Source organism: Homo sapiens, chromosome 1 (assembly GCF_000001405.40).
Source record: "Homo sapiens chromosome 1, GRCh38.p14 Primary Assembly".
NCBI lineage: Eukaryota > Metazoa > Chordata > Mammalia > Primates > Hominidae > Homo > Homo sapiens.
In genome coordinates this window covers 149266706-149282413 of record NC_000001.11, presented here as the reverse complement: position 1 = coordinate 149282413, position 15708 = coordinate 149266706, and the positions used below count along the sequence as shown (strand labels likewise).

Below are 15708 nucleotides of genomic sequence, written 5' to 3'. Positions count from 1 at the left end.
CACTGCACTCCAGCCTGGGTGACAGAGCGAGCCTACATCTCAAAAAAAAAAAAAAAAAAAAAAAAAAAGAGGGTATCCAAAGGGAAGAACATAGTGAAAAGGTGCTCCACATCACTAGTTATCAGGGAAATGCAAATTAGAACCACAACACCATGCTGCTATATACATATCAGAATGGCTGAAATTAAAAAGATAGAAAGTAGCAAATGCTGGCAAGGTGGACCATTCAGAATGTTCACATATTTTTTAACCACTACTCACAATAAGTAATATATTTACATTGCCACCAAGTACTCTTACATATGTAACAAAGTTTCTTGTAACAATACTTAACTTTACTATGTGTTTTGCACTCTGATATTTGCTATTCTATTCTTTTTCTTTAAAAATAAAATGTTGGCTCTGATTCACTGAATTTATTTCTCCACCTAATGGGTCACAGTTGGAAAAATCCTATAATCACAGATCATGGCTGACATCTCAGATCCTTCCTAACTCACAGATCAGATTAGTTCATAAACACTTATTAAAAATTTGAGGGCCGGATGAAATGGCTCACGCCTGTAGTCTCAACAGTTTGAGAGGCCAAGGCAGGTGGATGACTTGAGGTCAGAAGTTCGAGACCAGTCTGGCCAACGTGCTGAAACCCCATCTCTACTAAAAATACAAAAATTAGCCGGGTGTGGTGCCTGCACCTGTAGTCCCAGCTACTTAGGAGCCTGAGGCAGGAGAATCCCTTGAACCCGGGAGGCGGATGTTGCAGTGAGCTGAGATTATACCACTGCACTCCAGCCTGGGTGACACAGTGAGACTCTGTCTCAAAAATAAATAAATAAATAAATAAATTTTGAGAGCCCCAAACAGGTCAGACGCTGTGCTAGATGCTAAGAATAAAACAATGAATGCAATGAATGAGACTGGGTCTCTGCCTTTAATGGCTTTACATTGTCATCATCTATAATTTTAATAGAGAGACACTAAGGCAGAGATACGCAGTGGCTGCTCTGGGTACACAGTGGATAGGGGATTGAAAGAATAAAAATTAACCATAATTGATAACATTTATTAAGCTTTAATTGTGTGCTAATCTCTTTGAATACTTAATTCACCTAATCCTTACAACCCTATGAAGTAAATGTTATACTCATTTTTAAGAAAAGGAAATTGAGCTTCAGAAAGATTAAATAATTTTCCCAGAGTGACACACACAGCCGAGAAAGAAATATAGCCTTGAACTGTTTCATTCCAAAATCTATGCTTTTACTTTATTTTAGTAGAGTTTTGTAGGTGACTCAGTTTATGACTTGTTTCTGAAGCTAGCTACTTGCTCAATTTACCCACAAAGGACAAGGTGCTTGGTATTTTAGTTCTCAAAGTTAGATATGCTCTACTCCCAGCTACACATCATCTGCCCCTCTACAGCTCAATGGAAAGGTTCCCCCTACCCGCTGGGGCCGTTACCTGACTGTTGCCAAACTCACTGGTTAAATCATTTGGACAGAGCATGGTTGGCTCTGGAATAGCAAATTTTCTATGAATATACTGGCATTACAAAAAGCTGATTTGGTCACCAGCTTTCAGATTTATTTCCGTGAACAGGGCGAGAGTTGTCAAAAGAATAAGCTCATGGAGCTGATGAAGAACTTGATGATGAGGGGAGGTTTTCTCACCCGGCAGGTCCAGTGTCAACCAGGCAAACAGCTTCTACTGCTCTAAATTTTTAGCATCCACCTGTCTGGACTAGCAACTCCCTACACCTTCTGCTTTAAAGATTATCAGTACTTCAGGATTACTGTTTGTATTAATTTCCTGTTGCTGGTGTAACAAATCACCACAAACTTTTTTTTTTTTTTTTGAGATGGAGTCTCACTCTGTTGCCCAGGCTAGCGTGCAGTGGTGCAATCTTGGCTCACTGCAACCTCCGCCTCTCAGGTTCAAGGGATTCTCCTGCCTCAGCCTCCCAAGTAGCTGGGATTACAGGCACATGGCACCACACTCAGCTAATTTTTGTATTTTTAGTAGAGACGGGGTTTCACCATGTTGGCCTGGCTGGTCTCAAACTCCTGACCTCAAGTGATCCACCCGCCTTGGCCTCCCAAAGTGCTGGGATTACAGGTGTGAGCCACTGCGCCCAGCCAAATCACCACAAACTTAGTGGCTTAAAACAATACAAATGTATTGCCTTAAAGTTCTGGAGGTCAGAAGTCTGAAATTTGGTCTTCTAGGTTAAAACCAAGGTATCAGCAGGACTGTGCTCCTTCTAGAGGCTCTAAAGGAGAATTTGTTCCTTGCCCTTCATGGCTTCGAGAGACTGCCCACATTCTGGGTTCATAGCCCCTTCCAGCAATGCCATCACTGGCCTCTGCTTCTATCATCACATCTCCTTTGATCATTCTGACCCTCCAGTGTCCCTCTTACTAGGACCCTTATGATTACATTGGACCCAACCAGATAATCCAGGATAATCTCCTCATCTCAAAATCTTTAGTCACATCTGCAAAGCCCTCTCTTGCTATGGAAAGTGGCATATACACAGGATCTGGGGATTAGGAATGTGGACATTCTTATAAGGCCATTATTTTAGCCTACCACATCGTTCAATGCTGAAAAAGTCATTACTAATTATCTTCCCCATTTCAGTGGAAATGTTCTGGTTTCTAGCATATGAGAAAGCTGAGTAAACATCAGGTGAATCATATATGAACCTTATACAACTTCCCCGAACACATAACTCAAGAAAAGAGTGAACTAGAAATGTTTAAGGGCAAACTGTAAGACTGAAGGTTAAAAAAGGAAAGCAAATTAGTCTGTTTTGTTTTGTTTTCTATTCCCCTGCAATTTGATTTAATAAAATGCAAGCATTAATTGCATTTGCTTGCTGTATCTGTGAAAATTTGGAAAATGGAAGTAACATTCAAGAAAATTAATGATCTGGTTTCAAAATTTAAGAATTTTGACTTTGTTTCTTTTCTGGAGTACAGCCTTCAAGCAAGACAAGGTGTCCATTTACCACAGCTATATTGTACTTAACAGATCTCCATTGATAGCTTATTTGAATTTGTTTTTCTCTATATAAATGTTTAGCCTAGAGGAATCAGGGACATTTATTTTTCTCTGAATTTATGGTGAGTTAGTAGAGAGTCCTGTTTACAAAGACATAGTTACAACCAGAGATATATGGCCACTGAGGTTAAAGTGGTTAAATGATTTGCTGGCATTCACACAACTAGTATGTGTTGTATGAAGGCCTAGTTAATTCCAATACCTTTACTTATTATGGTGCTGGTGCTTTGCATGTAACACTTCATATTAGGAAAATGCTTGTTTTCAGAATTCTATTATTGAAACATCTTTGGAAGTTGAATTTCCTGTTTAATATTCAGCACTGCTAGCAACTAATTATCTGAATTTTAAGAAGGAAATTCTGCCTTGGCAACTCCAGTCTACTTTTAAATGGGCCTATACTTGGATTTCGGCTTGGGGAATTTGCCAGAATCAATGCTTTCACTCCTACTTGCTTATTTTCCACACACTAGATCAGTCTGGACCTGACTCCCCCAACCCCCATTTTTTCAGCTACATGCTAAGACTATGTTTAAAATACCTAAAGACTGGGAAGGGGTTGTTTTTGTCTCAGAAAGGATAAGTAACACCTCATGGTGCCGTCCCCATCCTGGGAGGCTCGCCTGACTGTGGCTGAGGGATCATATTTTCAAGGCTAAGTGGAGCATCCATCCATTCAGTGGATGCCCCAGGACACTACTTCTATTGAAATCTACCCCATTTTATAAATAAAATTCCAAACTGGGCTCAGAACATTCCACAAGTTGTCTCTGGCAAAAATTCAAATAGCATTTAAAGTTAGAAGAAAGTCCAGAATACAAGAGATGTCATATTGACCCAAGGTGGCTCTATGTGATTCTATTTTAAAACACTCAAATGCACTGAGGACTTGTTTTCCTCTGCCTCAGAGCATTTTCTGAGTTCTGTGGCCAGCAAGACAAGCATGATCTGAATTTCTTTTTTCTGAACGCTTATGGCTAAAGTGCTAAATTAGTCATAGACTATTTATAATAAATTGTATAATAATACTGTTTTATTTTCATAGCACTTTCACAGCCTGTGATTCATCTTTCCTTAATCTGTCTCATTATCTTCAGTCCTTTTCTGCTTGTTACATTCCACAGAAACGTCTTTCTTTCTTGTCTTTTCCAAGGCCAGTGAGGGAAGAGGTAACTTGCAACTAGTGTCTTCTTATCATGGTCATGGTGGAAAGGGTGGAAAGAAGCAATAACTTCTGACATATAGAAAGCATTCACTGGCCAGGCACAGTGGCTCTCGCCTGTAATCCCAGCACTTTGGGAGGCCAAGGCAGGAGGATCACTTGAGGTCAGGAGTTCGAGACCAGCCTGGCCAACATGTTGAAACCCCATCTCTACTAAAGATACAAAAATTAGTGGGCATGGTGGGGGGTGCCTGTAATCCCAGCTAATCGGGAGACCGAGGAATGAGAATTGCTTGAACCCAGGAAGTGGAGGTTGCAGTGAGCCGAGATCACACCACTGCACTCCAGCCTGGGTGACAGAGCAAGACTTTGTCGGAAAAAAAAAAAAAAAAAAAAAAAAAAAAACTAGAAAGCATTGACTCACAAAGAAAATTGAATAATTTCTAGCATTTCACACAATTTAAGAATGAATTTATTTTCCACTTCATAATGTGGTATATTATCATTCATAATGTAGAATAACATGCTGTGGATTTACAGTGTCTTTTAAATCATTACGCCTAACCCAAAGGATGTAGACTTCCAATTTTTAACTATTATAAATAATACTTGATAAATGTCTAGGTGCATAAAGCATCTTCTTCCACAGCATTATTTTTTGAATGAGAGATGTTCAGAAGTAGAATAACTATGTCAACATTTCCAGTTCTTGAAAGTACATTGCAAATTACTTAAAGTTATAGTCCCATAAGAAAGATATTGCATTCAATTTAAATATCTTTTTCAAGACCTGAATCCCTGTATTGTAAAGGGGGAAACTGAGGCACACTGACATTAAAGTGGCATAACCTAGGTGAATCAATAGCAACATTTCCAACTTTTACCCTTCTCTAGGGTAAAATGCTTCACTGTTGCTGTTAATCTCTATTACTATCCTGAAACGTTTCCTGAAATGATAATAAACAGAAAATTTTAACATAAGAAAGTAAAAGATAGATGTAAATTACATCAAAACTATGTATACCTATTAGGATGTCTATTACAAGGACAGAGAAAAGAGAAAATAGATGCCTTGTTTGGTTAGGGGATTATGGGCAACATCCTTTATATGCTGCTTTTAAACTAAGTCAACATAGGTTTTTATTGCAGGAAGAAGTTCACATTTGTGTCTACCAAATGACAACATGTAAAGTTTGGAATTGAGTTGGTTTTAGGTTTTTCTGTGTATCACTTGGAGGTTTTCTGTGTATAACTTTCTTGTATTACTTGGAGATTTTCAGGTTATTGGCACCACAGGAGCAGCATTATTGCCAGCAGACCCGGGGAGCTGGTTGGAGAGTCATTGCGACTTAATTTACCCTGAGCTAAAATTATTATGAGTGGGCCTTAATATACCAGTTGTTCCCACCTACACATCTAGCCTTGCCTTTGCTGGGATAAATTTGTATACCCTTCAGAGGTTAGATTCAGAAGTACCTCCTTTAGGAATTATTTTTAGAACCTAGATCTGGGTGTAGCCAGAACACGCTCTGCCTACTCTGTTGTAGCATGTAGCTAGTTGGTTAACTTGATATTTTCCATACTCCAAGTTTATCGGCAGAATGAAACGTTTTTGTCTATAAGTCTTCAGCATCTAACATTGCCTCTAGCACTTAGAAGGTCATCTATTAAGAGCTTTCCAGAGAACATTCCCCAAAAGGCCGATGGGAATATCTGTTTGGTGGGTGTCTCCTTATTGTAGAATGGATACAACAGGTTATCAAACTTGACACCATTATACATTCAGATTGTATTTATCATTGTTTAAGAAATATGTGTCTTGTTTCCTCAGTTACGGGAAAAGAAAAAAAAAAGAAATACGCATCCAATTCCTATGATCTAGACTTCTTTAATGCTGGACAGATGATAGTGAATGATCTAAAAACCCTCCCTTCCAGAGACTGACATTCTAGAGGGGTCACTAGGCATGGACATACATCACTGTTATACCTTGACCTGACATAGCCTTAACTCGAATTCACTTCAGTATGCTATCAGCACAGCCATCTTTTGTAGCTCATCTTTCTTCCAGATTTTCCACCCTTAGGATCCTTAATGCTGAAATTATACTTCTTGACCACAGGTCAAGTCCCCCACTTCCTCATTCTTTCTGAATGTTGTTTACTGCGTCATGTATTCCAGTTCCTCAACTCTCTGTATCTTCCAGGCCATCTGCTGTTTATTCACCTCCATACTGAACCTAGACGTCAGAGTCAGCTCTTTGAATCGTGTTCTCAACGCTGCTTTAGAATCTCTAACTGCCTTAACCATCTCCCGGCTTGGTAACCCTTAGTCAATTTTATTTTAAAATCCTAGAGGATTCTATGAGTGTTGTTTTAGTATGTTATAAAACCGCACTGAGAAGAGAGACTCTAGATTCATTCTTGCTAATCCTCAACAGGTCTATAATGCTGCTGAGAAATTCTCCTCCTCCTCCCACCTGCCTCTTTCTCCTGCTCCTCCTTCCCTGACTCTTTCTCTTCCTCTAAAAATATATTCCTCACAACCTTTGATTTCCGTAGTGTAAATAAAAGCAAGATGCAGAACTGTTACATTCAATATTATTTCCATTTGCAGAATTCACACAGGCAAATAAACTGAAGAACAACTAAATACATACAAATCTTTATCAATGTTGCCTTCAGGTGGTAGAATTTTAAAGATTATTTTTATTTTTCTCTGTACACTTTTCTCTTTTCCAAAATTTCTACGAGGCATGTACTTCTTTTAAAATCATCAAAAATAGACATTGTAAAGAAAAGAAACTGAAAGATTATGTGAATATAAAAGTAGGTGGAAAGGGGAAAAAAATCACCTGTTTCTTAACATTCAGTCTAGGGCTCTAGAAAGATTGAGCCAACTGCAATATACTCCAGTGCCTTGTGGATATTAGTTGTTAATGAAAACTGAGGATTGTAGGGTGCATTGCCAGGACCAAAAGCAAAATGCAAAAGGTAAGTTTCAGAGGTGGGTGGAGAGACCATACACCATCCCTGGGGTAATGTGACTGAATCCAAAGCAGGTTATTTTCATGTCTTCTTTTGAAAGAGTGATACCTATGTCTTGGCTGATGCAGGGGAGGTAGAGGAAAATTTATTAGATATTTGGATATGTGATGACCTCAGAAGGTAAAGTGAGGAAAAATAATTACTTACTTATTAAGGGGTTTCTCTGAACCTTGATGGATAGCATCAAGAAAGTAATGTTAGTTTCCTTATTTTCTTTAGGATGAAGACTTAGTGCTGGACCAAAAACAAAACAAAACAGAGATCCCGAAACTTAAAGAAATTGTTGTGGATGCACGATGATTTTGTAGCTCACTGTAGCTATTGGGGACTTAGCACTCCAGAAAACAGCCTCTCAGAGTGATGGTCACTGTCAGTGAATAGACTTTGAGTGAAGGGTGTAATTGCAGCCTATACTGGAATAAAGTGGATGTTTCTGTATCGGTGCCAAGTCAGCCCACACTTAGTCAGCATGCAGAAGGAGGCTCACCGTGATGCTCTCTCTCCTCTGGGAGCTTTGCCAATTAAGCATCCTCACTTGCAGAGGTTATAATGATAGATCTTGAGATGAGAAAAAATGATAATTTCACTGTATTATATAATAGTCTTAACGTTCTGCATCTGGGGCTTTTACCCTATTTGCATTTGAATATGTGTTTTTACAATTCGGGTGCCACATTGTGGGAGGGTATTTGGCAACATTTGGAACATAGAAAATATATCCAGTGTCTCTCCTTGGCAAGAGGAAAAATACACATCTGAGAAGTCTCAGAGCTTGTTCACTAATGCCTTTTCCACTTTGATTGTTTCTGTTTCCACCACCTTTCCCGCGTTTCAGTTTATTCCCTTGGGTAGGGACAATGCCAAGTGTTATCACGGGAGGGGTTGGAGAAAGATGTAAATATTCTGAAAAAAGTGGGTTAGAGATAGAGAAGTATAAAATGATGGATGACTCACTTTTCACGATAGGACCTATATAAAAAGTCACACTAGCCACTTCCGTTTTGGGATTTTAATTATTTTGTCACATGGCATCTGTTACACCAGTACTCAAATACTCAAGTGTAAGCTGTGCCCATCAGGGATAAGTTGATAGTCTAAGAAACAAATTTGTGTCAGGGTTTGAGACAAAAATCCCATCTCATCAGCACAGCAAACCGTCCACCCTTCCTTTCGCCTCAGCTTCTCAGGGGTGAGTTCCCTGGAGTCAAGGCAGGTACAAAGGAGGTTCCCTGTAAATGTGTGGTTAGAAATAGGGCATATTGGGAAGAGTAAAAGTTTGGAGTCAAATAGACAGTTTTCAAGTTCAGGCTCTGACACCAACTAGCTGTGCGATCTTGGGCAAATTACTTTATCCTTCCAGGCCCCTTGTTTCCTCATCTGTAAACAGGGATTGTATGACGTACTTCACAGGATTCTATGATGACTGAATGAACTGATGCCTAGAAAGTATCAGGCATTCAGTAAATTGCAGAGGCAGCATTGGTGGTGAGTGGTGATGGTTGTCCATGATAATAATATGTTCATTTAATACGAGATTAGTATTGAGGAAAATTCCAGTGCAAGAAAACCTGTGGAATTATAAAATTATGCACCAGCAGTCCAGAAATTGTTAACTGTAGATGTCTTTGTTTTTAAGTTGACACTATTTCTAAAATCTTACCATTTATAAACTGTCAGGGCCAGAGCTTCCCATATTAAAAAATAGGCCACAGTTCTTCTCATTCTGACCCTTTTGTGTTTGCCACAGTTGAATATAGCTGTAAATTAAAAATAGGAAAAATGCATCTTGGAACGTTTGAAAAATTTATTTCATTTGAAACAGAAACCAGCAACTCTTGTTAAATGAGCTCCAAGAATATGGGAATTGGAACACAATCTGCATTTGGTTCAATGCCTACTCCTGTGAGGACCCCAAGAAAGAGCAAACTTCAGCAGTCTTGCTGTCATGCCACACGCCCCTCACTGTTTGAGAGGCCACACCGAGCCGAATCCTTTCCATAGTTATCTTTTATCAAGGTCATTAATTAGGAAGAGCAATGTAAATTCAATAAAAATAGATTATTCAAACTTTTTAAAAATAAGAATTAGCCTTTTGGCAAAAATAGTAAGAAAAAAAGGGGGAGGATGCTCAGTATATTTTCCGCCACTCTAAACCTCCGGACTTTTCATTTCTCTGGGTTCTTTTCTAGTTTGTTTCTATGGGTATTTTCACAATAGTGCAAATCTTAGCCCCTTTCTTTTTTTTTTTTTTTTTTTTGAGACGGAGTCTCGCTCTGTCGCCCAGGCCGGACTGCGGACTGCAGTGGCGCAATCTCGGCTCACTGCAAGCTCCGCTTCCCGGGTTCACGCCATTCTCCTGCCTCAGCCTCCCGAGTAGCTGGGACTACAGGCGCCCGCCACCGCGCCCGGCTAATTTTTTGTATTTTTAGTAGAGACGGGGTTTCACCTTGTTAGCCAGAATGGTCTCGATATCCTGACCTCATGATCCACCCGCCTCGGCCTCCCAAAGTGCTGGGATTACAGGCGTGAGCCACCGCGCCCGGCCATCTTAGCCCCTTTCTTGCTGACATTATTTTAAATCATTTTGGGGGCTTCTAAGCTATAGTGTTTGAGGAGGGAGGTGCAAATGAAGAAACAATTTCACCCTTGGCTTCCCTTCATATTCCCACCTGAGGGTGAGCGCTTGGGGAGGAAGGCTTGAGGAGGGGGAAAGGTAAACAGGAAGTTGGAAGATGTCCTAGGAGGCAGTTCAGGGCTCCTCAGGGTGGGGGGAAGATGGAGCGGGGTGGTTGGGAAGGGGAAAACAAAATGAAAGCCCCCTGAACACACCGTTCATTTTCCTATAATTGGGTCTTTGTTATGTTTCCTTGTGTATTTACACCCATCCTTTAAGACCTAGATTCAGTGTTATCTGTTTTCTGTAAATGTCCTAGACCCCTCCGCCAACCACCCTGTCCCAGCCCACTCCCCACCAGGACAAAATTAATTGCTATCTTATTTATGTTCTGAAATCTCTGTTAAATCTAATTTTTCTAATAATTATCTCTCTGAATCATGTGCCTGCTTCCCTCAATAGATTCTGAGTACTTTAACCACAGGGTATATATACTTTTTCACCTTTGTATTTCCAGTACCTGGCATATAAGCAACTTCTCAATAAATGTTTACAAAATGGAATTATAAAAACCCTAAAAATAGCAATGAAGGCCCAGGTTTTCGCTCTAGGTATTGCTATAGCAGATTGTTTTTTCTCCTTCTGAATTTTTGTTCATAATAATAAAATATATATATATATATAAAGAAGCTTGAAAGCTAGAAAACGCCTCTGGGAGATGGCCCTGGTCTTCAGGCTTAGAAATGTTAAGCAAGGGTGGTGGTTAGTGATGAAGTAGGAGGGCCAGACTATGTGGTTCTCAGAACAAACTAAATACCTGTGATTGGCCTGAAGAGAGGGCCTGAAAATCACCATTCCTTTGGGAGTTTAGACACTCATATGGGAATAAATAACCTTAGGTTAATTATTTTAGTAGGTGAGACTGGAGAGAAGAAAGTATGGAGCCTAGACAGGCATCAGTACCTTAGAAATAGTTTTAGTGGTGATTTTGGTCCTAGAATACAAATATCTCATACTGTTCAAAGACTCATAGAACCTGCTTTGTAATGATGATTACCATCTTGTCATTGCTTTTGAATGAGATGATTCATTCATATGATCTGTTGTTCCTCTCAGTCCACAAATTAGACAGACTAAAATACAAGAAAATAATACCAGAAATAACAGTTTACGGAGAAAGGTCTATACCTGCCTTATAGAAAATATCTCTCTCTGCAGGCTCCTAAGCAAGAAGAAACCCAAGTGTCTACCCCTCCCCACAATGTTATGAGAAACTAGACTAGTGGGACCAATGAGATGCTTGAATCTTGAAAGGAGCTATATCAGTGGCCAGTTTCAAGTAAAGCAAAACTGAGTGTTTTGGATAACCCTGGCCATAAATGAAACTACCATTCTTAGAAAATTACTGGAAGAAATCATCACAGGACAGTTTGAGAATGTCAGAATATCAGGGGGTGGCAGATGGCCTTCAGAGAAGCAATTATTTCCTGATCATTCTCAACTTAATCACCCTGGAAAGCCATAGAAAAACCAAGTAATATGGGATATTGAATGTTGATGTGTTATTTGAGTCTAATATCTTAATAGCTACTTATCAGCAACTCAAGAAAATATGAGTGATATACCATGCAGAAATCAAGCAGGTGAACAGCTTGTGAGTAGGTTGTACTTGGAAAATGCTTGGTACTTCCGAAAGCAAAATAATGTCCTGGTGAGAATATTAATATATGTGGTTTTAGTGGAATTGGTATTGTCGTTAGCAGATTGATGACGTAGGGAGAAAGACAAGGTAAGACATTGAGGAAAAATATAGTTCATTTATACAGAAAAAGCAAAATGTTAAGTGAAAGCATCATGGGAGAAAGATTATATATGGAAATGCAGGAGAGCTAAAAGTGGCCTGGTGAACCACATATTAGCTGAGCATGAGTCATTCATGAATTGATATTTTAAAAAACTAGAGACACTTGAATTTGAGAAACTAGGACAAGGATATAAAATTTTTTTCTGAACTTGGGTAATACGAAAGAATGTACCAACATATATTACCACTTTGTGTGTGTGTGTGTGTGTGTGTGTGTGTGTGTATGTGTGTGTGTGTGTGTGTGTCCATGCTTGGAGTCTGTCTCTACCATACCCCAATTCTCCTTGCACTTTGGTTTATCAAATGTTGTCACAAATTGCAACCCCTTAGACTTATACTCTGTGTTTCTTCAGTCTGAGCCCCTTCCCTTGGGGAGCGTCAGATTCCTTTGTAACTTGTGGAGCAGCTGAGTGAGCCCCTTTCTCTGGCAATAAGAGAGGGAACTTGAGCTGTTAATAGAGCTAAAGTGATTTCTTAAAAATCTCCTGAGACACTGCGAGTATGCTTATTAACTCAGTACCCATCTAAAGTGACCTCTCTATCCTTCCAGTTATTGATTCATATCAGGCAGGCAGTGTGCTCAGAGTGGGTGTGGGTGATGCGGGAAGGGTGAGGTGTCTGGTAGGGCTGATATGTATTGCTGTGTTGTAGCTTGCTCTTGACCTATAATGTGCAATCTGCAGAGCAGAGAAGATTGAGTGAGATCATGTCTGGAAGGTATCCTGGATCCTTGGACAGTATTAAAATGGGTTTTATGCTTAAGCATCTATTAGAATAGAACTGCATAATTACTGCAAGGAACCTTAGAAAGTCATGTCCTTCTTTTATAAATATTAGAGAAAACTAATGCCCAGAGAGGTGAAAGTGACATGCAAGCCAATATAGTAGCTTGTTGCCACAAATTAATTAATTGTGTGTGAAGCCAATGGGTTTCTCAAGACTGTGCCTTAATAAAGCAGAAATGAAATTCTGTCTGCACTTGGTCTATACTGGGGTAACAGCATCAGAAACCTGCAAGATGCCAGGCAAGTATCATAATTAAGTGAATGAGGGACGACAAGGACAGGGAGTGGCAGGGACTGTGGCAAACTGGAAAACACATCCCTGTCCTGTGTAAAGGGGGCAAGTTCTCCCGCTGTGTGGGAAGGCAGGCCCAGTGTTGGCAGACCCACTCATTTCCCAAGAGCAGTTAGAAGTGGGTCAAACTTGTGTGGGCTAAATAAAACATGTCGGATGGGCTGAATTTGGCCTGAGGGTTGACCTTGCTCCTGACAGCAGATGCAGCCACCTTTGTCTGTGGACTAGGCAGAAATGCTCAGTGAATAGCAGCAGCTAAGTATAAATTTTTTCCCCACAGATTTTTTTAAGACATTGTTCTGGTTGATGGTTTTGACATCCTTCTCCTATTTTACCTCCACAGAGGGGAGTGCATACGTAGTACATTCCTCTTTGGCATTGTTTACTCTCAGGGAAAGCTTTTAAGGAGGAGAAGGGAAAGAGGCAGGGGGCCTGGAAGAATCACAAGCTGGTGATCTACTTTTGGATACGAAATAATTGTCAGGTGGCATGTGTAGCCCGATGTGCCCTGTCTGGTATTTTCATGTCCATCTGGGACTTAACAAAGTGAAGATTTCTGCCAAGATCCAGCCCTGAGGCAGGGAAGAAAAAACCACCAATTTCCAAGCAAATGCCAGGTCCTCCTCTGCCTCCCTGTGAATATCTTCTGGCTTTTAAAAAGAGAAGTCCTGTAGGCTGGGCGCAGTGGCTCATGCCTGTAACCTCTGCACTTTGGGAGGCCGAGGCGGGCGGATCACCTGAGGTCAGGAGTTCGAGACCAGCCTGACCAACACGGAGAAACCCCGCCTCTACTAAAAATACAAAATTAGCCGGGCATGGTGGCAGGCACCTGTAATCCCAGCTACTGGGGAGGCTGGGGCAGGAGAATCGCTTGAACCTGGGAGGCGGAGGTTGTGGTGAGCCGAGATCGTGCCATGCACTCCAGCCTGGGCAACAAAAGCAAAACTCTGTCTCAAAAAAAAAAAAAAAAAGAGAGAAAGAGAGAAGTCCTCTACATCTCTGTTTACAGAATTCTTGGGAGCCCCCAAGAGTTTAAAGAATAAGCTACCTATTGAAAGCATCTTTCTGTAGGGTTATTGAAATCATCTGTTTCTGACATCCCCATCAGACAGTCAGTTGTCAAGACAGTAGACAGTCCCCCTTTAAAACATTAGTCACTGAGTCCGTCTTTCTTTTTGATTCACAAGACTCTAGTGGCTAAATGCCTCTCCATGTCTTGAAAGGCTTCAAACAGTCTGCGCCCCCTGCCCAGTCTTCCCATTACTTCCCTGACCTCACCTCCTACTGCTCACCACGTGCTCACTGCACCCAGCCACTAACTAGCATGCTCCCTCTTATGGGCCTTTGCATTTTATGTTCTCTGCTTAGAAGACTCTTTCCCTAGAGACCCCCATGCCTGTCCTTATGGCTTCATAGAGCAGCCTTGTCTACTGAAAATTGCAATCCCCTCTACCTCCTCCTACCTCCAGCTCTCCCTATCCACATTCCCCACTTTCCTTTTTTTTATAGCACTTGTTCCCAACTGCTACTATACAATTTATTTGTCTCCCCTTACTGTAAAAATTCCATGAGTGCAGGGATTTTTGTCTGTTTTGCTCACTGCTACATTTGTGGAGCTTACAACAGTGCCTAAAAGCACTTGTTGAGCATGGGCTTGAGAAGTATTTGTTGAATACATTTTGAGATACTGTCCCCTCTCTGCTAGGGATGGTGGTATTTACTATGCTGAACAGATACACCTCTTGCTACTGAATCATGGTGTTATTAACATTTCCACTCATAAACTTTGTCTGTTTTTCAAGGTTTCTGTGTCAATTCTACTTTCTAAACATATCTTAAATTTTTAAAATTTCCCCTTTGTTAAACCATCACAACTTCCTATTTGGAATATAGATTCTCACCATCCATTTTTGCCCCTCCACAGTCTCACTGTGTAGAGCCAGAATGCAGCTGGAATGACCTATCTAAAATATAAATCTGATCATTGCCATTCTTTCCTTAATTTAAAATCCTTCATTGATTTCCCGTAGCTTTTCACATTAGACTCAGTGGCCTTACCCCATACCACAAGGTCCTGCGTGGCCTGGTTGCAACATTGGCTTTCTTTGTTCCTCTAACAGGCCAGAGTCCTTTCTGACTCAGGGCCTTTGCTGTTCTCTCATGATGGAACACTCTTCCACTCCCATTCTCCCATTCTACACCTGGTTGACATCCTCCCATCTACGTTTAAATGTTCCTTTCCCTGAGTTTCTCTGAGTCCCTGTGCTAGTTAAGTTCCCTCTGCATTTTCCTTCACAACATTTACTACAATAGTAGTTAATTCTTGTGAAATTATTTAATGGCTGGCTCTCATGTACTTATTGAGAATAGGAACTCTTCTGTGGTGTTTGCCTTTGTATCCCTAGCACTTGACACGGTCCCTGATACATAATAGAAGCTTAGTAAATACTTGCAGAGAGATAAATAGAAATGACAAATAGGTAGGTGTCTTCTCCTCGATCCCTGGGATGGGAGCCTTGTGGGGTAGTATCTCATTAATTAATGATGTGTTTGCCTCCACAGAGATTATTTTGCAGAGGATGATGGGGAGATGGTACCCAGAACGAGTCACACAGCAGGTAAGGATGCTGTGGGCCTTGCCTTGTTAAATTCTTTGTTTCTTTTGTTTATTCATTTGGTTTTCTTTTGAGACAGGGTCTCACTCTCTCACTATGGATGTAGTGCAGTGGTGTGATCATAGCTCACTGCAACCTCAAACTCCTGGGGTCAAGCTATCCTTTCACCTCAGCCTCCTGAGTAGCTGGGACTATAGACATATGCCTAATTTTTAATATTTTTTTTTAGAGGTGGGAGTCTTGCTATATTGCTCAGGCTGGTTTTG

The 15708-nt window shown here is 40.5% G+C and overlaps 1 protein-coding gene across 3 annotated transcripts in view; it reads left to right on the top strand.

The window, feature by feature from the left end:
* Window positions 1-15708, top strand: part of LOC124904395 (uncharacterized) — an 81309-nt gene that overhangs the window by 39679 nt on the left and 25922 nt on the right. For all 3 annotated transcript variants that reach the window (XM_047438030.1, XM_047438029.1, XM_047438028.1), the window contains exon 2: window positions 15390-15445. In XM_047438030.1, coding sequence (XP_047293986.1) covers window positions 15390-15445 — 56 coding nt within the window. The remainder of the gene's footprint in view (window positions 1-15389; window positions 15446-15708) is intronic.